Source organism: Homo sapiens, chromosome 3, assembly GCF_000001405.40.
Source record: "Homo sapiens chromosome 3, GRCh38.p14 Primary Assembly".
Lineage (NCBI taxonomy): Eukaryota > Metazoa > Chordata > Mammalia > Primates > Hominidae > Homo > Homo sapiens.
The window spans coordinates 178,708,582-178,732,718 of NC_000003.12; the positions used below are offsets into that span (position 1 = coordinate 178,708,582).

Here is a 24,137-nt window from a genome sequence, read left to right on the forward strand (position 1 = left end):
GAGTGGGACTTTACCAACAAAAATAACAACAGTAGCAATAGCATCACCTACAACTTATTGAGTGCTCCCTCTATACCATGAGCTATGTTGATCCCTTTACCTGCTTTATTTCATTTAATTCTCAGCAAAAAAAAGCCCCTATAACACAATTCCTATTATTATTCCCTTTTACAAAGAGGATATTGAAGCTTAGTAAGAGGTTAAATAACTTCAAATGTAGTCATTCAGACAGATAGATTTGAACCTAAGTGTGTCTGGTTTTTGTCTCTTAATTACTAACAATACAGCATGCATCTGTTAATTTACCAATGGGTGAGTAAAAGAACAAATGAATGAATGAGCGAATGAATAAATAATACTCTAAAGTCTCTTTCTAGCTTTACCTTCTTTATCAACATTCCCAGCAAGCATTTCTGATTTATAAGAAGCTTAACTCCTCTTATAGGTTAAAGGAGGAAAAAATAGCAGTGTACTAGTTCTATTTAGGGGAAGAAGAAGGGAAAATCAACATGAAGAAAATGAGTCTCTGCAAATTCCCAAAGATTTGGAGCCGAAGCCAATTTGTTAGTTTGCAAATGAAAACGTTGTCTCCACTTTTCACTACTCTGTTTCATGCCTTTAAAATTCAAACAGGAGGATTAACATCTGCTATGTGTATTGGAATATCAAGAGGGCTGTGAACGCGAAACAGAAAATGTACTGGATATTTTCAAATGTTTCCGGTTGCCAGGCAACAGTTTTCCTGCTTTCCAAGCATCGTGGCTAAATCACCTGGGCTTCAGCTCTAGGGAAGTCTTGAATTAAACTTCTAGCTATAGGCTATGGCAAAGTATTGAAACAGAACCACAGAAGATGGCATTTAATTTTACACTGGTTTTCTGAGATTGTCACTAGCAGCAGTCACTGTCAGTGCTAGGTCAATAGCAAAAGACGGGTTAACACAATGTGGATTTTTTAAGACTGTTTTATATACAGTACGATTCCCTAACTCAAACATCAGAAAGGGCACATCTGAAATGGTAAAAAGTATAAATTGCAGAATATTATGCAGAATGGAATTTTGTTCATTCAGTTAAGTTCAGTGACTTCAAATGAACTCACAAAATTTTCAAGTAGAAATTTTGTTTTAGTGGAAGTTGAGAATTTTTAAAAATTAACACATTAAGACACCAGTTTAGGCAATCCTGGTATTTGTTTCCCAGTCTTCCCCAGATTTTATTTGTACTGCTCATTTAAGCCATTCTATGTACATCTTGTTTCATCTCCACTACAATTCTGGGAGAAAAATATTTTCACTGATTTTACAGATAAAGCAGCTGAGATTGTATGGATAAGGTCCCTGTGCAAAATATAGTTAGGGTCCAAAAACTTTCAGAGGAGCCCAGGATCAACAGCAATTTATACCGAGCACTTAAATCTCAGTCTAAGCTCTGGAAATGCACATTTACCTTCTCTGAACTCTGAAGCTCCTGTGTGTACCTATCCATTCAGATAACCTCCCATCCCTGGCAGGTAGCCTCCAGGGACCTGAAGTAATATAGTTAACCAAAAATTAACTATATTAATTTAGTTAATATAAAGTTTTATTTTTTCCCTACCACTGGCAGGAGGAATCCAAGGCATGAACTAAATGGCACCCTCAAGCCACTGGAGTCAAGCAGGGGCTCACTTCAGCTCATTCTCAGAGCAAGGCCTTTTCAGGGCCCAGAGGTATATTCACTTCTGAACTTCCCTTGAGGTTTTTTTCTTCTTTCCCCATTGTAAGAAAGTACTACCTTGAACTACCCATATTCAAACCGGGGAAAGGAATGCAGGGCAGTCTAGGACTTTGGAGAGAACCTTATTGGGAAGACACAATTCTCAGGTGCCTTATTCCAAGCCTCAGACCTCAATAATCCTAAATTCCAGATTTGCATGCCAGCTAGAAGAAACCAAACTTGTGTTTCTCCTCCCCAACCTATAGGAACCCCTGTTTATAGAGGGCTATAACTAAGCCCAAGGCCTGGAGGCAGGTTGTTTTCAGAGGTTTCCCCCACTCATATGTGTATGTGTGTGCGTGAGTGTGTGTGCGTGTCTCTGTGTATAGGAGGAGGCCAAAGAAAAGCCATTATGCAGATGAAAGCCATTTAAAACATTCAAATTCTCCCTAGTACTAAATGGGGTAGAAAGCACCTTGAAAGTTTTCCTTGAGGCTCTTATTAATTTTATTTTAACATTAAACCTCCTTATAGTATTGATATTTTACTTCAGCCTCGTGATCTGAGGTCCTTCTAATGCTTCTTCTGTTACATCCATTATGCATTCATTTGTTTACTCAACCCACATTTAATATTTGCTGAGTGCCTACTATACGGAAGGAGCTGGAGACACGGGGCTGAATTGAATGGACATGGGTTCTGCCCTCAAGGAGATTGCTATCAAGGGGACATTAACTGAGTGCTTGCTCTGTTCCAGGAACTATACCTATCCGTTTATATAAATAGTTTATTAAGTTTTCTTTGCATCAATTCTCATAAAAATCACCTGAGGTAGATATTATGATTAATATTCTTTTTACAGTTGAGAAAAAGTGATGAGAAAATGGCACTTGCCAATAGTCAGTCAAAATTCAAGCCAGGGTATTCCAGAGCACAAACTCTTTACCACCATGCCATACTGCATTTATTTTAATTGTGTATATTTGCAAATATTTTAGTTATAAAGATTAAATATCACAGTACAAGTAAAAACTCTTAATATTGTGCCTGGCATTTGGTCTGCAGCAATTTGTTTTTATTCTTGCATCCTGCACAGAGAGAACTTAACTAATCCTGAGCTCCCAAAACTTCTACCATACCCATCACCCCTTAATATAGCTCCAGACAATCATTGTGGCCTTGCGCTGTCTCTCCCACCAAGACAGATTTCTACCTATTCTTTAGGAACCAAGAGACAAGATTTGGTCATAAGACACTAAGAACGCAGGATAAGAACCAACTTCGGAATTAAATTTACTTGGGACTGGGAGCAGTCTCAGCCAGTAAAGCCACTTCCTATACGAAACCCAGAGAAAACAGAGTCTTCAGAACAGTCCAAAAGCCCCAGTTAAAATTAAAGTCAGGCTAAACATCACTTCCACCATCATCTCTGGCCAGCCAGAAGAAATAAAATAAAACTTCCTTTAATATTCTCCACTTACTGAGAATTTTCTATGTGCCAGGCTTAACGTAGTGCAGAAAGGACTGGTTTTGGATAAGATGACCTTGTTTCAAATTATGTTGTTTCCTTAGAAAATTATGTAATTTCTCTGAACTTCTGATTCCACATCTGTGGAGTGGAAAGTGTAAAATGCTGCGTTGTTATGAGGATTAACTAAAATCACTTATCTGGTCTCTGATGACATGCAACAAATGTTGGCTCCCTCAGTTCCATCCTCTCTCTGTCAGACAAAATTTTGCCGTTGTCACTGTGAGTAGGGAGTATCCAATTCTGTATTTTCTACTTTGATGTTGTGAGTTTAATCCTTCTATTGTGCCACCTAAGTTTGAAAAGGTCTCTACCTTAGCATGCCTATTCAAACCAGGAGATTAATAGTGTACTGGTAGCTCCGTATCACTTTTTTCCCAACAGAAAATAACAAGAGTAACATATTTACTAGGGGGCCTAACCACCTACGTGCCATAATCGGTAGATGTTGTGTATAATGGGAGGAACTTGGAACTGATTAGAAATTTACCTGTTATTTTGGATACCTATCCCAAGATATTCCCTGAAGACTGTTCAGTTCATACTGCATACAGTCTAGTTGAAGGAGGTTGCAGTCATGTGAATAAGTGTGGGGTTACGTTGACTCGACAAATATTTATTGAATGTTTCCCAGGTGCCAGCCGAGAGTCTGGGTGCTGAAGATGTTGAATGAGACAAACAGAGTTCTGGCTCTTGTAGCATGTCACCCCAGTGAAAAAATTCTGCCAATGATAGCTGACATTTATTACACGCACACTGTATGTGAGGCACTGCAATATTAGGTGTTGTCGGTGTGTGTTATTTTCTTAGGAACCCTACAAGCATTTGCTGCTTTTATTATCTTCACTTTACAGATGGGGAACCTAAGCACAGAGAGGTCAGTTAACTTGCCCAAGGTCGTACACGTGATAAATATCAGAGCCAGGATTCAGACAGACTCCAGAGACTTCTGCCTCAATCACAGTGCAAACTGCCTTTCTATATAATCTGGAGTTTTGAGTGGTATTTTATATTATTCAAAGAGATTTTATATTTTATTCTGTGAACTTCGTAACACATCTGTGAATTGGGAATACTAGGTATTACACATCACCATTTTAAAAACTAAAACTAAATAGAAAGTTAAAGCAACTGGCAAACTCATAGCCCTAGCCCACAGGGGGCTGGAAACAAGAACCCAGGTTTCTCCTACTTTTCGTCTTTAGTATTCCTCTTGCTACATATACATACACATTTAGTTGGGAAAAGAGAGGAAGGGCCTGTTCAAATATGAAATGGACTGAGAGATCTTATACCACGCTCAGTCTCCTCCTCATAAAATAAGGTTAAAACTGGCTTTGGATTGGTTACTGTAAGGACTGAGAAAGCTTGTATAGTGATTAGCATGTAATGATTACTTTGTAAATGTTAGAGCCTCTTCATCCTGTGGTTACAGATTCATGTTTTTATCCTTTCACATTGGGTATGGGCAAATACTCAGAAAAATTGCATTTCATTCTTGGGAAATATCTGAACAGTCAAATCACTGTTAATTACAAAACAAAACCAGCTCTGTAAAGCTGGTCCACATGAATGTTTAATGGGCAGACAAAATAAGAAAAATAATGTTGTAGCTGCAAATTAAGAGAAAGATTTACCTACTCCTGAAGTCACCCACTGCTAGAGCAAAAATATTTCTTAGAGATTACTTTATAGATCTGGTCCAACAAATCTAGAAACCAAACACAGATATGAACTACTCTGTCCAAAGTTCCACATCCAATTGGGGCAACATCTTGCAGTAGACTCCTGCTCTGCCAGCCTGCCCCCTACCTCCACTCTTCACCCCACCCCCATAGGTATGGTCTCTGCCACACAGAAGGTATGGTCTCTGCCCCAAGGCTCTCCATGGGCCCTGCAAAGCTACCTGATGAGCCATGCTCTGACGCTGCTTCCACACAAAGCCACCTTCACATGGTCTATCTTTAGTACAATTTAATGAATGGAGGCCCTTGGAGGTGCTCTGAGAATGACCATCATTATAAAAATCTCAGCTCTGTGGAGCAAACCTGTGTGGAAGCTCCCAAGTAATATAGCCCCTGGAATGCATGAATCCCTCATCATTAACCCTGTGGGAAAAGCATTTGTGTTGTCTTACTAGTCTGCTCATGTTTTTAAGAAAAATTCTGCTTGCATATAAAAATATTATCATTATCTTCTTAAACTCTCAAGTTTTTCTGTTGCCTGTGAAAAACAAAACCCTTCAGAAAAGTAGCTACTGACCAGAAAACTTGGTATTAATTTTTCAAGGAATAGATTCCCGGTTATACTTGAGCTGCATGCCTCTTCCTTCAGTCACACACACACACAGTGGAAATACCAGACACACTCTTTCTTCTTCAGTGCTTCTGGACTTACCATGTATTTCATTTCAATATTTTTTCATTTATTCATTGAGCAAATATTCCTTCAGACCTGCTATGCATTCGGTCCTATGCTAGACATAAGCTACACTTCTTGCTCTGGAGGCATTCACTGGGGAGACAGACCCTCAAACAAGTAAGTTACAAGTGCTCTCCTGGACTCATGAGGAGGGACACAGTGTTGGCTGAGGCAGCAGAAGGAGCAGCCATCTCTTCCTGAGACATCTGGGAAGCTTCACAAAATAAGTGACTTTGCACTAGGTCTTGGAGGACCAGTGGGAATTTTCCAGGTGATGACTGGGGAGGGTTCTTGGAAGGGAGAAGAGCATGTGTAAGGATGTAGACTCGGGAGAAAGCACGACATGGTTAGTGAATGACAAGGAACAGTGCGCAGAAGTGAATGAGCCCAGTTTGGAAAGATAGGTTGCAATAATAATGAGAAGACTCTTTTGGGTCAAATGAAAGCACTTGAACTTGTTCACAGGTAGGTGGGCAGTTTTGCTCTGGTGAAGGCTTCTAAACAGTAGTGAGCAGACTCAGGGTCATTTTGGGAAAATCTAATGTTCGTCAGCCGTTGGCAAAGCTTCTGCCCTTGAGGCTGGGCCCACTTTCTTAGACTTTGAGGAGAGATTGAACATGGAAATCACGGCTGCACCAGTCTCCTGTCTAGAAAAAACATCTAGACTTCTGTTTAGAAAAAACAGCTAGTTGCATCTGCAGCTTCCTGAAGCTCTTCATTCCTGAATATGAAATTCTATATGTCTGCCCGGGCATTTTTATAGCACTGAAAAGAAAAAAATATCTGACCACTTTGTTTATTTTGGAGGAAAATTACAGAGAGATTTTGAAGGTTCCAGCCTACTTTTTCTGTTTGAGGATTTTAAAAAGAGAGAAAGAGAGAGTTTGGGTCTGATTTGAATAATGGCCTGTGTTCCCGAGAGCTTTGTGCTTTGGTAAGCAATGTGGGCTGATTATTGCCTCATGCTTTTCTGAAACAGCTGTCTGTCTGCTTTTAGAGCTCTATTCTAGGGGGATTGCAGGAGCCACAGAAGAAAATTTAACTCCTAAACACTCACATCACTTGGGAAGAACAGATCCGAAAGAGCAGTGGTATAGTTTTTTCTATTGTCTTTTTCGTTGTTGTTTTTGTTTTTTGGTTTTTTTTTTTTTTTTGGTTTCAGAAAGTTGGTGGTTGGTTGAGGCAAATAGAGAAAGATTCCTTCTGTGGGCTCAAATGGAAGGTTTACATGAGCCATTCCTCTGAAGTTCACCTTCTCAACATTTTGATGTATGTCTCCCTGTGTCTTTGAGTTAAGTTTTCAGCTAGGATCTACTGTTTCAAGGAGGAACAAGTTAGGACCTATATCACTAGGCTGCTTTTCTGGTTTCTGAGTCCTACTGTAAATCAAGCATATCTGGAAACCACACCATACTGCTGTCATGGGTTTTATTGTTATATCCAACTGGGACCTGCCTCTTCCTCATGTGGTGATTATTTACTAAACACTATATGCAGTTGGCATTTGTCAAGTACTCTGTGTGTTTAGTTGATGAAGTTTTTTTCCTATCACTGGTGTTACAAAGGGCCCTTGGCTTAGTGAGCTTCCCTTTCATGGTAGGATGACAACTAAACCAACCTGACCAGGAGACCAGGGCCCTGGGAGAACAGAAGTCAACTTTTCAGGTAGCAAGTCCAAGACCTGTAGTGGTCCAACAGCACTGATTGAGATCTGGATAAGATGCCAGAACTGCCTGCCCCTCTCTTATGCTTTATAGGACTTTCCTGTCAGTGCCTCTGACCCTGTGAGGTATCTTTCCATACTGTCAGTTGTTCCCAACTGAATACACAAATCTCTCTAACCAAAGCTTACAGTTCAGCCAACTCCCAGTGGTTCTTCTGAATTAACAGAATTAGCAGAGCATTCTGCAGTTTGATCACATACCCGCTAACAGTGAGTTTAGCTTCTCTTCCATATTTGATATTTCTGAATTTTTCTGAATGCCCAGAGAATGTACATAATAACATTGATAGTATCAAATATTTGTTGAGAGTTTGCAATACGTCAGGGTCTTGTTAAACATTCACGTTATCACATTTATCTCCCTCACAACAACCTCATGAGCTACATACTATTGCCCTTCCCATTCAATTGAGAGAAAACTGAGTCTCAGAAAGATAATTCATCAGTGGTCACAGAACTGGTAAGAGGTGGAGCCAGAACTAAAACCTGCATTTTTTTTTTTTTTTTTTTTGAGATGGAATCTTGCTCTGTTGCCCAGGCTGGAGTGCAATGGCACGATCTCGGCTCACTGCAATTTCCACCTCCGAGGTTCAAGCGATTGTCCTGCCTCAGCTTCCGGAGTAGCTGGGATTACACGCATGCTCCACCATGCCCAGCTAATTTTTGTATTTTGAGTAGAGATGGGTTTTGCCATGTTGGCCAGGCTGGTCTCGAACTCCTGACCTCAAGTGATTTGCCCACTTCGGCCTCTCAAAGTGCTGGGATTACAGGCATGATCCCAAAACCTGCATTTCTTGATATCACAGGCCTTGAGAGAATCTCAGGGACAGGTTTTCCACATATATGCATATTAGTAACTGCAGGAAGTTGGGAGGAACGGGTCCCTGGACCAAATTATATTTCACCCCCAAGTCAGAGACTGAGGACATTCCAGGGACACCCCTTCTTTCTCCAGGATATCATTCATATCCACAGGTCATAGTAGAGTCAGTCTTTAGGCATTGCTTAAAAAACATAAAGCCCTGCCTTTTTGGAATAAGTTAAATGATCAGCTTGTCAGGCTTATGCCCACACTTTATGTCTGGGCAAATTTCAGCAACTTAAAAAAAAAAAAAAGGATGAACTATTCAAGTTCCAACATGTCTAACCTAAAATAAGTATATGTCAACATCAAGATGTATCCATATATAAATGGAAAATTAAAGAGAATAAAACTAGTGTATTTCTATTATGCTTTTTAACTTCATATCTAGTTTGGCCTGGGCTTTTAAACTGGCCACCTGTTTCCAAAGTATGGACTTCCAGCACCACTGTGTTCATGAACCATTTACCTTCATCCTGCTTGCACCAAATTTTTTTCACTCATTTCTAACCTCCTCAGATCCTGCCCAGGGCTTCACATTCATACTTTGCGTCCTTTGATTATGTTTCTTTTAAACTGAAATTGATTTCCTTCCTTGGCTGTAAATTGCTAGAAAATTGCTTCCAGTCCCTCCAGTTAATGATGAAGCCTAATGCAACCTCAGTATAGGATGCTGCCCAAGGGCCAGTCTGCCAGGTCCAAACTCCCCTGAGTTTGCTTCAACTCTCCCAGAGAGAATTGGACAATTGAAGTTAAACACCCTTTCTGTTCACATTAAGTGTGATAACTGACTCCTGGAATTGAAATAGCTTCAGGGAGGCATCTTCTCAAGAGATACAATAATTCCTTATGTAGCCCTTTAGAGCTTACAAAGTCAACATTATCAACTTATTCAGCAAGCATTTATTGAGTACCTGCTGTATGCCAGGCACTCTACTAGAGTAGTCTAATAAGTGATACAAAGATGAATAAGACAGCCTCGGGATAACCTGGGGAGTAGGTAGACAAAGCAGATAAGTTATGGGAACTTAGGCAGGAAGGAAGAACAGAGTCAGAATTTTGTCAGTACTTTCTTTACAAAAAAAAAAAAGGCATCTTCACCTTTGGTGACTCCTGAGAATCTGAAGTGAGATCACCATTCCTAAACTCTCGTCCATTTCTAGAGACTTACTTATTTTGTTTCAAAACTGCCACCATCTTTAACAATAATAAGTGGACATGACTTATCCCTTTTGTAAATAGAGTTTACTTTCATGCATTTCCCTCTGAATAATCTTTACTGTTTCTCACTTGCTGTCCTTCTATCAGCAGGCTCTGATCTGAGCCCCTTTGTGTCAGCCACTCTGCATCCCTTCTGTGATAGAAGTAGATCAGAATAACACTTAACAAATTACAGGTATTTGGGATACAAGCGTCTTGCAGCTTTGTGCCTGAGAAGAAACTTTTCCTTATAATTTCCTCTCTAGCAGGTGTTACGTTCCATTGCATTGCCCTGTATGCAGGTAAAAACCCAACCAAACAAGAAAATCTTACCAAGTCCCTGAGTTTTTTTCTGTCTGTCTATCTCTGTATGTATGCATGTGTCTAGCTAGCTAGCTAATCTTCCTCTCAAGGACATAAACTTTTTCTCTCAGAAGTTAGGTAGGCCTGCCTATAAGATCAAAATCATTTCCTTCGTGTTCCCCCACTCTGGAATCAGAAGATCTGAGTTAAAGCCAGTATGGCACTAAATGACAGTGTTACCCAAGACAAGTCATTTTGTCTTTCTGGGACTCAGTTTCTTGGTTTGATATCAGAAGTGGCATAGATTAGGTGAGCTATAAATTGGAATACACTGGGAGATTGCTCTAGACCATGTGTTGAGTCGGGATAGAGCTGGGGTTTAGACAAATTCCCAGTTTCTTTCCACTGCCCCACACCTTCTCAGAAAGTCAAATCATGAAGCACTTTAGCATACTTTAGTCTGATTTTTTTTCTCTATATCGTATATGCATCTTACTGACCTAAGCAAATATATGGTCATACCAACATCAGAGACACAAATCTCTGTCTCATTCTAAACTCATAGTCCTGGATTTGGAAGCCCAAGTCTAATGAGATCTATCCCATCACAGAAGCAGCCAGAAGACCCCAAGTGGCTATAAGATGGGGTTTAACACAAGCTATGGACATCTAGAGGTAGGGCTGGGTCTCTAAGCTAATGATCTCTCGCAGCCTCCAGCCCAGCCCTGTGACTTTTTCAGAAGCATCACTGCATCAGTCTGGATCTATTATCTCTTGATTAAGGCTGCTTATAGAGTACAACATTTTACAGCTTAGCCCAGCTTCTTGCATTTTCATCAGTTGCTTTATTCTTTTCCTTAACAATTACTGCATGTCAACACCCTTTCTCCTGTCAGCATACCAAACCCTGTACAGGAGGCTGGCATTGTTCCAAGTAGACTAAAGTTGGGCTTTCCTCTTATTACAGTCTTTTAAACCCAAGGGAGTTGAATGATCTTTGAACATTCCTGGGGATTCCATTTCAAGATACTTCCCTACAGGCTGTGGCAATGCCACATTTAACCTTGATCCCCAGAAACTAGGAATGGCCTGGCTTTATAACTCATAGGTAACAGCTTGTGTGACTCTGTTCTGGGCCTCTAGGCCACTTCAGAAGTGATTAACCCTGTTATCAGAAGGCAGTGGGAAGCATTTGGCTTCACTATATTCTGTCTCCAAGTTTGATTCCTTTTTCTTTCTTTTTTTGCTTATAAAACCTGGCTGAGGAATAGTTATAATTTTCAGGTGGAATAAACTCATGATTTTTATGTTCTCTCCTGTCCCACATCAAAAATACCATTGCAAACTGGAGACATAAGCAAGATTTTTCAGCTTCTACCATCTTTATGTCCAAATATACATTTTTCTCTTTAAAAAATAACATACAGTAAAATTGACTCTTTTTTTGGTGTTTGATTCTGTACATTTTAATACACATAGTGTGTCATGTAACTATCACCACAATCAGGATACACTGTTCTCTCAATTCCCTCAAATTCCCTCCTGCTGTATTCAAATCTCTGCCGTTTGCCCAGTACCTAGCCCCCGGCAACCACTGTCCTAAAGTTTTCCCTTGTCCAGAATAACATAAATGGAGTCATAGGGTATATAATCTTTTTTTTCAGTGTTTTTTTTTAAATTATACTTTAAGTTTTAGGGTACATGTGCACAACGTGCCGGTTAGTTACATATGTATACATGTGCCATGTTGGTGTGCTGCTCCCATTAACTCGTCATTTAGCATTAGGTATATCTCCCAATGCTATCCCTCCCCACTCCACCCACCCCACAACAGGCCCCAGAGTGTGATGTTCCCCTTCCTGTGTCCATGTGTTCTCATTGTTCAATTCCCATCTATGAGTGAGAACATGCAGTGTTTGGTTTTTTGTCCTTGCAATAGTTTACTGAGAATGATGATTTCCAATTTCATCCATGTCCCTACAAAGGACATGAACTCATCATTTTTTATGGCTGCATAGTATTCCATGGTGTATATGTGCCACATTTTCTTAATCCAGTCTATCATTGTTGGACATTTGGGTTGGTTCCAAGTCTTTGCTATTGTGAATAGTGCCGCAATAAACATACGTGTGCATATGTCTTTATAGCAGCATGATTTATAGTCCTTTGGGTATATACCCAGTAACGGGATGGCTGGGTCAAATGGTATTTCTAGTTCTAGATCCCTGAGGAATCGCCACACTGACTTCCACAATGGTTGAACTACTTTACAGTCCCACCAACAGTGTAAAAGTGTTCCTATTTCTCCACATCCTCTCCAGCACCTGTTGTTTCCTGACTTTTTAATGATTGCCATTCTAACTGGTGTGAGATGGTATCTCATTGTGGTTTTGATTTGCATTTCTCTGATGGCCAGTGATGATGAGCATTTTTTCATGTGTCTTTTGGCTGCATAAATGTCTTCTTTTGAGAAGTGTCTGTTCATATCCTTTGCCCACTTTTTGATGGGGTTGTTTGTTTTTTTCTTGTAAATTTGTTTGAGTTCATTGTAGATTCTGGATATTAGCCCTTTGTCAGATGAGTAGGTTGCGAAAATTTTCTCCCATTTTGCCTGTTCACTCTGATGGTAGTTTCTTTTGCTGTGCAGAAGCTCTTTAGTTTAATTAGATCCCATTTGTCAATTTTGGCTTTTGTTGCCATTGCTTTTGGTGTTTTAGACATGAAGTCCTTGCCCATGCCTATGTCCTGAATGGTAATGCCTAGGTTTTCTTCCGGGGTTTTTATGGTTTTAGGTCTAACGTTTAAGTCTTTAATCTACCTTGAATTAATTTTTGTATAAGGTGTAAGGAAGGGATCCAGTTTCAGCTTTCCACATATGGCTAGCCAGTTTTCCCAGCACCATTTATTAAATAGGGAATCCTTTCCCCATTGCTTGTTTTTCTCAGATTTGTCAAAGATCAGATAGTTGTAGATATGCGGCGTTATTTCTGAGGGCTCTGTTCTGTTCCATTGATCTGTATCTCTGTTTTGGTACCAGTATTTCAGTTAGCATAATGCATTTGAAATTTGCTCTTGTTGTTGTTTGTATAGTTTGTTACTTTTTATTGCTGAGTAGTATCCCATTGTAGAGCTATAGGACAGTGGTTTATCCATTCAACCCTTGAAGGATATTTCAATAGTTGCAGTTTATGGTGATTGTAAGTAATTTGCTATAAACATTTGTGTGTACATTTGGTATGTAACATAAGTTTTTATTTTTCTGGAATGAAAACCCCAGAGCGCAATTACTGGGTTCATGTCATAAGTGTATGTTTAACTTTGTAAGAAACTACCACACTGTGGATGAGTGGGTGTACCATTTTGAATTCCCAACAGCAATGCAAAAGAGTTCCAGGTTTTCCACATTTTTTCAAACACCAAGTATTAATTGTCAGTGTGTTTCCGCTTTCGCCATTTTAATCAATGTGTCATACTATCTTATTTTGGCTTGAACTCACACTTCCCAAATAGCTGATGGTGTTGATTACCTTTTTATGTGGTAATTTTCCATTTTTAAATCTACTTTGGTGAAATGTCTGTTCAAGCCATTTACCCATTTTAAAATTTTGAATTTTTAGAATTTTTTTACACATCCTTCTTACAAGTCCTTTGTCAGATATGTAATTTCAAATATTTTCTCTTAGTCCATGGCTTGTATTTTTATTCTCTTAACAGAGTCTTTTGCAGAGCAAAAGGTTTCATTTTGATAAAGTACAATTTACCCTTTTTGGTGTCATATCTGACAACTCTTGCTTAATTCCTAGTCACAAAGATTTCCCCATTTTTTTTCTAAAAGTTTAGAGTTTGATGTTATAGCTTTTACCTATCATATATTTTTAGTTAATTTTTTAATAAGGGGGTATGAGGTTTAAAATGAGGTCCTTTTTTTACACACATATATACATATATAATTGTTCCAATAGCCTTGTTGAAAAGACTTGATCAGTTTTGTGTTGCTAAAACAGAATACCACTGACTGGGTAATTTATAAAGAAAAGAAATTTATTTCTCACAGCTCTGGAGGCTGTGAAGTTCAATATCAAACTGTTGGCATCTGGCACAGGCCTTCTTGCTGCATCATCCCATGGTGGAAGGCAAGAGGGTGAGAGAGGATAAGAAAGCACAAGAGAGGGCTGAACTCATTTTTATAACAAACTCACTCTGGTGATAATGAGCCTACTCCAGAGATAACGACATTAATCTATTCATGAGAATTCTGCCCTCATATATTAGTCACCTCTAAATGGTCCCACCTTTGGCGGGGCACGGTGACATATGCCTGTAATCCCAGCACTTTGGGGACCAAGATGGGCAGATGGCTTGTGCTCTGGAGTTCAAGACCAGCCTGGGCAACATGGGGAAACCTCGTCTCTACAAAAAATACAAAAATTATCTGGGTGTGGTGATGCATGCTTGTGGTCCCAGTTACTCAGCAGGCTGAGGTGGGAGGATGGGTTGAGCCCTGGGGGCGGAGGTTGTTATGAGCTGAGATTGCACCACTGCATTCCAACCTGGACAACAGAGCAAGACCCTGTCTTAAAGAAAAAAAGTTCCCACCTTTGCATTGGGGATTAAATTAACAATACATGAACTTTAGGGGACACATTCAAACCATAACAGTGTCCTTTCGATATTGGGCTGTCTTTGTATCTTTGTAAAAAAAAATCAGTTGACTATAGTTGGGTGAATCAGTTTCTAGACTCTCCATTCAATTTCATTCATCTATGTGTCTATCCCTACCACATTGTCTTACTATAGCATTATAGTAATCTTAAAATCAGTAATATAATAATATAATTCCTCCAACTTAGTTTTTCATTTTCATATATAATGGTTCTGGCTATTCTAATTCCTTTGCCTTTCCGTATAAAATATAGAATCAGATTGTGATATCTTTAAAATATCCTGCTGGAATTTTGATTGAAATTGTACTAAATCTATGAATCACTTTGTGGATAATTGACATCTTTACTATATTGAGTCTTATAATTCATTAGCATAATATGTCTCTCCATCTATTCATGTCTTTCATCAGCATTTTGTAGTTTTCAGCAAATAAAATAGGCAGATGCTCTTTAGAAGAGTGTTTTTAATGCCTAAGTGTTTGGAGATTTTCCCCAATATCTTTCCTGTTTTTATTTTTTATTGTTTTATTGTCATTCAAGGAATACATGTGCAGGTTTATTACTTATTACATTATGCTGAAGTTGGGGATTCTAAGGATCCTGTTGCCTAAGTAGTGAATATAGTACCTGATAGGTAGTTTTTCAACCTCTGCTCCTCTCTTCATCTCCCTCTTTTGGAACTCCCAGTGTCTATTGTTCCCATCTTTGTGTCCATGTATACCCAATGTTTAGCTCCCACTTACAAATGAGAATATGTGGTACTTTATTTTCTGTTTCTGTGTTTATTTGCTTAGGATTATGGCCTCTAGCTGTATCCATGTTGTTTCAAAAGATATGATTTCATTCTTTTCATGGTTGCATAGTATTCCATGGTGTATGTATACTGTTCTTTATCCAGTCCACTGTTAATGGGTGCCTAGGTTGAATCTATGTCTTTGCTATTGTGAATAGTGCCATGGTAAACATACAAGTGCAGGTATCATTTTAGTAGAACTATTTATTTTCCTTTGGGTATATACCCAGTAATGAGATTGCTGCATTGAATGATAGTTCTGCTTTAAGTTCTTTGAGAAATCTCCAAACTGCTTTCCCCAGGGGCTGAACTAATTTGCATTCCCACTGACAGTGTATAAGTATTCCCTTTTCTCTCCAGCCTCACCAACGTCTGTTTTTGTTATTGTTTTTGTTGTTGTTGTTTTACTCTTTAGTAATAGCCATTCTGACAATTTTGAGAAGGTATCTCATTGTGATTTTGATTTGCATTTCTCTGACGATTAGTGATGCTGAGCATTTTTTCACATGTTTGTCGGCCACTGGTATGTCTTCTTTTGAGAAGGATCTGTTCATGTCCTTTGCCCACTTTTTAATAGGGTTGTTTTCTTCCTGTTGATTTGTTTAAATTCCTTATAGAATCTGGATATCAGTCCTTTGTCAGATGCAGAGTTTGCAAATATTTTGTCCCATTCTCTAGGTTACCTGCTTTCTCTGTTGATAGTTTCTTTTGTTGTACAGAAGCTCTTTAGTTTAATTAAGTCCCATTTGTCTATTTTTTATTTTCTTGCATTTGCTTTTAGGGTCTTGTTCAGAAATTCTTTGCCTAGGCCAATGTCTAGAAGAGTATTTTCTAGGGTTTCTTCTAGGATTTTTATAGTTTAAGGTCTTACCCATAAATCTTTAATCCATCTTGCGTTAATTTTTGCATATGGTGAGAGGTAGGGGTCCAGTTTCTCTCTTCTGCATATGGTTAGCCAGTTTTCCAGCACCACTTATTGAATAGCGTACCTTTTCCCCACTGTTTATTTTTGTTAACTTTGTCAAATACCATTTTGTTGTGGGTGTGCAGGTTTATTTCAGGGGTCTGTATTCTCTTCCATTGGTCTATGTGTCTATTTTTGTACCAGCACAATGCTGTTTTGGTTACTGTAGCTTTGTAGTATAGTTCGAAGTTGGGTAATCTGATGCCTCCAGCTTTATTTTTATTTTTTCATTTTTGCTCAGGGTTGCTTTGGCTATTCAGACTCTTTTTTGGTGAGAAATGAATTTTAGAATACTTTTTTCAAAGTCTGTTAAAAATGACATTGGTAATTTGAAAAGAATAGTATTGAATCTGTATATTGCTTTGGCAAGTATGGACATTTTAACAATATTGATTCTTCCAACCCATGTGCATGGAATGCTTCTCCACTTGTTTGTGTCATCTCTGATTTGTTTAGGCAATGTTTTATAGTTCTCCTCATAGAAATCTTCCATCTCTTTGGTTACATGTAGTCTCAGGTATTTGTATGTGTGTGTGGCTATTGTAAATGAGATTACATTCTTGATTTTGTTCTCACCACTCCTATTCAACATAGTACTAGAAGTCTTAGCCAGAGCAATCAGGCAAGAGAAAGTAATAAAAGGCACTGCCCTCCCCCCACCAAAAAACGAAAAAGTTATCACCACTAACAATATGATTCTATATCTAGGAAACCCTAAAGATTCTGCAAAAAGACTCCTAGACTTGATAAACAACTTTAGTAAAGTCTCAGGATAAAAATAGTCAACATATAAAAATCAGTAGCATTTCTATACACGTGATATCTTTCAACTAGATTTATTTCTAGTTTAATTCTACTGTGGTCAGAGATCATCTTTTATTATTTCAGCTTTTCAACTTGTTAAAGTTTGTTTTTCCCCAGAATATAATCTATCTTAGTGAATTTCCCATTTGCACTTAAAAAGGAATATTTCATGTGCTGTTATTCGATGGAATGTTGTCAGATATTAATATAAACATGTCCATTTACTTTTGATTAGTGTTTTCATGACGTATCATTTTCTAACCTTTTACCTTTAACCTACCTATATTATTTCCTTTGAAGTGAGTTTCTTGTACATAGCATGTAGTTGGTTTATTTTTTTAATCCATCTATCCTAACAATCTCTATGTTTTAGTTGGTATATTTAGATCATTTGCTTTTAATATAATTATTATGAATTTAGCTCTCCCATTTTATTTGTTTTCTCTATTTTTCATTCCTTTGTTTTCTATTCCTTGACTTTTTTGGATAATTTAAATATTTTTAATGCTTAAATTTAATTTATTTAATGTGTTTTTAATTATCTCAGTGAATAATATTTTAGTGGCCCTTTTAAAGATTACAGTCTACATATATAACTTTTCATAGTCTACATACAATCAATATTTTACTAGTTCAAGTAGAATGTAAAACTCTCACCACCAAATAGGTTCCTTTATCTTCCCCCTTTATCTTACAATTATTTTATATATGACATCTGCACATACTGAAAACCTCATATGACAATGCCCTAACTTCTACTTTCAACCATCAACCATACTTAAAGAATTCAAGAGGAAAAAAATAATCTACTGTGTTTACCATTTCTGTTGGTCTTTTCTCATTTGTGATGTTCTGAGTTTCCTTCTGGTATCATTTATCTTCTGTCAGAAGATTTTCTTTACTGATTCTTTTAGAGTAGGTCTGATGGCAACAAATTCTTTCAGTTTTCTTTGACTTGACTTGAAAGTGTTTTTATTTTACCTTCGTTCCTGAAGAATATTTTCACTGTATATTGAATTTTGGTTGACAGGTTTTTTTTCAAATATTTCTTTAGATATTTTTTAGATATACACTGCATCTAAAGAACACTGGAATTGCTTTTACAGACCAGAGTCTGCTCCATTTTTTCTCTTTATGATAAGAATATATGAAATAAAATAGACATTCAAATATATTACTTACTTGCACTTCTGCACTTGCCCTGAAGATTTCAAAGTAGAAAAGTTTCTATAGCAAACATAAAATGTTTACTTATGATAATATGAGACATTGAGCCAATGTAGCTCAAGATCACAGCCTGTCACTATTTTTATTAATTTGTCTTTCTCCCATAATTTATTGAAAAGATATATTGTCTCTTTCATTACAGTTTCAGCTGTTCTTTCATTGATTTTTCCATTCTGTTGCGATCACATTTTCATTACTACCCTGGCTAGAGATCTAAAAAACAAACAAACAACAAACTCTATCTTCATTAATAACACCACCTGCCTCCCTCGTCAGGCTGCTAATTAAATTAGAATAAGTAAGCTAATAACAGCAAAACTCTTGCTATTTAGGTGTGTATTGAAGTAACAGGAAATAGCCATATACCCTTTTGAAATACCAAGGAAATATCTATTCTAGCTCTCAATGTTCTTGAATCTACGTACTGGCCTCAATACATATTGCTCTCATCTAATCCAAAGTTCCCATCTGGTCAAGATTCTCTTCCCCATATTTTTCCCCTTCCCCTATATACCTGAATAATTTTAGTTTCGCCTTTTAGGACTCAAATAAATTGTCACTCCCATTTAGAAGGCTTTTATTAGTGTCCTCTTTCTCCACCGTGGTAGGCAGAGTAGTAGACACCCTAAAGATGTCTATGTCCTAATCTCTAGAACCTGAGAAGATGTTACCCTACTTGGCAAGAGGAAATTTGCAGATGTGATTAAGTTAATAACCTTGAGATTTGGAAATTATCTTGTATTATCCTTGTGAGCCCAATCTAATTAAATGAGTTTTTAGAAGTGGAGAAAACTTTTCTTGGCTATGGTCAGAGAGAGACATGACTAAGGAAGAAAAGTCAGAGAGATGCAACATTGCTGGCTTTGAAGATGGAGGAAGGGAGTCATGAGCCAAAAAAAGTGGGCAACCTCTAGTAGCTAGAAAAGAAAAGAAAATGGTTTTCCCTTAGAGCCTCTAGGAAGGAATGCATCACTGCACACACCTTTATTTTAGCCCCATGAGACTTGTGTCAGAATTCTAACCTCTAAAACTATAAGATAATAAATTTGTGTTCTTTTAAGCTACTAAGTTTGTGGTAATTTGTTACAGCAAGAATAGAAAACTAATATAATCCCCTCCAGGCCAGGTTAAATGCTACTTTTAAAAGTTCTTGCCACATTCCACACATACTGCTAACAATACGTGCATAGCACTTACCATACAGTCAGTATTGATTTCATATTCTTATTTATCTGTTCCTTGCAATAGACTGTGAGTGCCTTGGAAACAGGTATAGGCCTTATGCATGGAACTGGCTATCTGTGAATTTTTTCATTAATCACCCAAAATTGTTGTTGCATCATCACTCACACCAGCCTCTGGGATAGACTCTGATAATGGCAATGCATATTAATATTGCCTTTTCATTCCAATCAGTCTCCTTCCTGTGATTTTTCCTTAAAGAGAGTGGGCAGGAATCAGACATAATAAAGATGGGTGGCTTCACCCAGACATGGACCCTAACAGTATTCACATCTTTAGATCTAGCAGTCAGAGAACATTAAAGACACATTTGTATCAACAAAATCTTTCCAGTGAATTAGTGAGGTTATTTTGGGAAACATGATGGGCCAAAATGGGGGAGAAACTGCAGAAAGGAAATGCAGTTTCTTATTTTTCATATAAAAAGTGTTGGGCAGGAGGCATCAAGCAATGCTGCCCGTGACACAAACAGACAGATTACTATTTCTAAGAGAAGTTATGAATCACGTGAGCGCTGTCTGTCCAAGAAGCAAAAGAGATGAGATCAGCTTTGGGATGAATCTGTGTTCTTGACAACTCTTTGCAAGAGGCACCTACCAGTCACCTCCATTAGCCTCAGGTCTAGGGGGGTCCCACTCTCTCTCATCCACTTTCTCCCTCTACCTGTGCTGTCCTTTTATACACAGGGTGACTACCTCCATCCAGAGTTACAATTATGCTTCTTCAAAATGAGCTTTTCTATGGGGATACACTCTACCTACAAAAAATAGTATATACACTTGAAACTTGGCATCTCACCCTCTATTAAATTGAGAACTTTTCTACTCCTGGAAAGTTACTCAGGGATGTGATCCTATTTCATCATTTGTGCTTATCTCATTTTTCTCCAAACTTACTTAGTCTGTTCTCAACGTTAGAACCAAAGAATCAAGTGTTGGTAAGTTGATACATAGCTCTACTTAACTCTTTAGGAGAAAGGTCTGTGTGTTACTCTGGCCTATCACATAATTTTCCAGATGAAATGTAAGATAAGCAAACAAAAGGAAGTTACCCGTGTGATACCAGGTTAGAAAATCTTCACAAACACTGCAAAAAAAGAAAAAAGAAAAACAATTGCTAGTCAGGTTTGTTAACCAAGAAGAGACAAGGACATGGAGAAGGAGGAAAGAAACAGTTCCTCAGTACTGTATTTTTATCAAAAACGGACTCAATTTTGACACAGAGTAAGTTAATAAGTCAGGCAAAATATATAATGGTGTCTAGGTCTCATCAGCTTTTCCTGGGCTGTGCTTCATGTACCACACAATCAATTTGGTCCCATCTCACAGTATTGATTAGGAAGATGGCCGAAATTGTTGTACCTTCCAGAATCAGGTTCAGCAACTGCAAGCAGACAAAAATCCAGCTAAGTATGTCATTCATCCCTGTCTTCTCCTTCTAATTTTTTTTAACTCCAGCACAATCCATGATCTTGCAATCCTTTATCACTTTGAGAAATTCTGTTTCTAGGTTCCTGCTATCTTGACTTTCATATTTTATGTGGTGAGATTTTCAATTAGTCTGGTGCTGGGGCGAAGTCAGCCAGGTCAAAGATTCCTGCCAAAAGTTCTTTTACTAATAAATAGACTAATAAAATGACCACATTGGGCAGATTGCAATTTTATTTCATTTCCAGGCATATTTTACACTTTGTGTCATCTCAGCTTGTTAATTGTATGTATGTATGAAGCAAATGGTCTTTGAATAGTTGTCTTTCCCAGGCACTTCCTGGAAGATGGTTTGGTTTTTCTGTCTTTAAGGTTTTGCTTTTGTGCCACATACCAATCATCATGGGCTAGATTATGCTGCAGTTATAAACAAATCGTCTAAGTTGATTAAAACAACAGAAGTTTACTCCTCACTCAGGCTACATGCCCACTGCTGGTTGACAAAAGGCTCTCTTCATTGTAGTCACTAAGCAGGAAACTGAGATTGACAAAATAGCCGTAATCTCACCATCTTCATGGAAAAAAAGACCTCTAGAGAATCTTGCATTGACAATTAAGTGCTCTAGCCTAGTTTGACACATATCACTTTCATCCACACTCATTGGCCTCAACCAACCACAAGAAAACTAAGAAGACAATTCTACCACGTTCCAAGAAGTTAGAGATTCAAAATATTGGTGAATGACCCTAATAACAATCACATACTACTAAAAAATTTGTGCTTTGAGGTGGCCCTATGATCTGCAAATTATCAAATTGCATAACTTGCTCATGATACAGATGCTTGTTATAATAACCTACTAGATATTTACGGTACTTGCATGTATAAAGTCAGAAGGTATCTGCATGTTTTAATTTTTCAAATTTTGAACTGCTTTCCTTTATCTTTGTCACTACTGTCCCCCAACACCCCCCCACACACACACACACACACAAACACATCCCCTCATCCAATCCTCAGCTACTCCAATAATTTCCTAACTGATCTCTTTGTTTCCACCCTTGCCCTGCAAAGGCCATTTCTTCACATAACATCCAGAGTGCTTCTTCGTAAAATGTAAATCTAATCAAATCTTCTCCTACTTAAGACCTTCCAATTTATTTCCGTCAAACAATGAAATGGGAACTCTTTGCCATGACTTATGAGAGCTCAATCCTGCCAACTTCTTCAGCTTTGCCTGGTACCATTCCTTCCTGTCCACTCTGTTCTAGCCACAATGGCCTTCATTCTGATCTTTAAATAAGCTCAGCTAATGCCTGCAGTAGACCCTTTGCATCAAGCCTTCCCCCTGCCTGGAATGCTCTTTCCTCAAATCTTCACATGACAGGCACCTCCTTGTCATTCAGGCCTTATATCAATGCACCATCTGCAGGGAGGCTGTCCCTGACTACACAATCTAAAACAGTACCCCCTCTAATTGCTCACTGTTATTCATTCACTTAACAAATATTTAAGCATTAACTATGTGCCAGACACTAGTTTATATACTTAAGTATCTTCATAAACAAAACAAACAAGTATTCCTGCTTTAGTGGAAGAGACATACGATATACAACCAACATATTAAATTATATATTTTATTAAAAGATGGCTTTTAACAAAGGGAAAAGAAAGAAAAAAAAATAAGGAAAAGGAAGAAAACCAGAGCCAAGTGGGAGCCTATATGAATAGCCTCCTACTGGCCCCAGTTGGAACAATATCGAGCATCATAGTTTAAATCATACCATTTCTATATGACTTGTACCTCAGGATACCAGAAGTTTATGATTAAACTTTGAGAAGTTTCTCTAATATAAAAGGATTTCAGCGAACCAGTGGAGCAGAAATGATAGAGTGTCACCATTTTCCAACATTTCGGGCTAGATAATTCCCTGTTGTGAGGGGCTTTCCTGTGTATTATACGATAGTTAGCAGCATATCTGGTCTCTACCTATCAGACACTGCCAAATGTCCCCCGTGGGAAGAAACATATTGTCCCTGATTGAGAACCACTGGTCAAGGAAATGAGCATCAGCGGCAATGTATACGACTAGATGAGAAACAGACAGACATTATGTGTTCCCTGATGGAAGTACAAAACAACCTATAAGCAGTCCTGCCAAAAAATTAAAATAATTAAAACCTAGCCGGGCACAGTGGCTCATGCCTGTAATCCCAGCACTTTGGGAGGCCGAGGTGGGTGGATCTCCTGAGGTCTGGAGTTCAAGACCAGCCTGGCCAACATGGTGAAACCTTATCTCTAATAAAAATACAAAATGAGCCTGCCATGGTGGCACATGCCTGTAATCCCAGCTACTCGGGAGGCTAAGGCAGGAGAATCGCTTGATCCCGTGGGGCAGAGTTTGCAGTGAGCCTAGGTTGTGCCGCTGCACTCCAGCTTGGGCAACAAGAGCGAAACTCCGTCTCAAAATTAAAATCTGAATCTGATTAAGCCTGTAGATCTAACTACGAATATACAGGAAGTACAGGGGACAGAGGACCTTATTAGACAATGCCAGAAGAACCACCAGCAAAATCCAGACCGTGGGAAACAATCTATTTCTGCAACCAAGGATTGCAAGGTAAAAACAAGAGAGAAAAAAGACAGAGAGAGGTCGAGAGAAAATGTACAGATTAAAAGGGATTTAAGAAATATAGAAAAAATTTGCGAGATACAACAGTGACTGGATATTTGATTATACTAAGGAATTATTAAAATTTTTGTAAAATAATAATATTGTGATTGTGTTTTTTAAAAGAATCTCTATTGAAAATAGATACTAATCTACAGTAGGTTTTTATTATTTGCAGATTCCATATTTACAAATTTACCTACTTGCTATACAATTTATTTGTAACCTCAAAATCAACACTTGAAGAACTTTCACAGTCATTCAGAGACATACATGTGCAGAGAGGCAAAAAATTTAAGTTGCCTGAAGTACATATTCCCACCTGAGGCTGAACAAGGCAACAGTTGTACAGCTCTCATACTGTAAAGTATACTTTTTATGGTCTATTTAGTGTCACATTTTTGTGGGTTTTGTTGGTGATTTTATTGTTTAAAATGTCCCCCAAGCATAGTACTGAAGTGCTGTCTAGTGCTCCAAGGTACGAAAAGGCTGTGATGTGCTTAATGGAGAAAACACATGTGTTAAATAAGTTTCATTCAAGCATGAGTTATAATGATGTTGCCCTGAGTGCAATGTTAATGAATCAATAATGTATATTATATAAAGTGC

At 38.1% G+C, this 24,137-nt stretch overlaps 1 protein-coding gene and 1 long non-coding RNA gene across 6 annotated transcripts in view, besides 1 other annotated feature; one reads left to right on the top strand and one right to left on the bottom strand.

The window, feature by feature from the left end:
* The window catches only part of KCNMB2-AS1 (KCNMB2 antisense RNA 1), a 334,939-nt gene that overhangs the window by 183,115 nt on the left and 127,687 nt on the right, over positions 1-24,137 (bottom strand). The gene's annotated exons all lie outside the window — the stretch shown is intronic.
* Positions 1-24,137, top strand: part of KCNMB2 (potassium calcium-activated channel subfamily M regulatory beta subunit 2) — a 307,994-nt gene that overhangs the window by 172,146 nt on the left and 111,711 nt on the right. The gene's annotated exons all lie outside the window — the stretch shown is intronic.
* Positions 3,287-3,487: a silencer, noted in NCBI's record as "peak4947 fragment used in MPRA reporter construct". NCBI's record gives its function as "represses an SCP1 promoter by STARR-seq MPRAs in K562 erythroleukemia cells {active_cell/tissue: K562}" and the evidence as "EXISTENCE:reporter gene assay evidence [ECO:0000049][PMID:32103011]".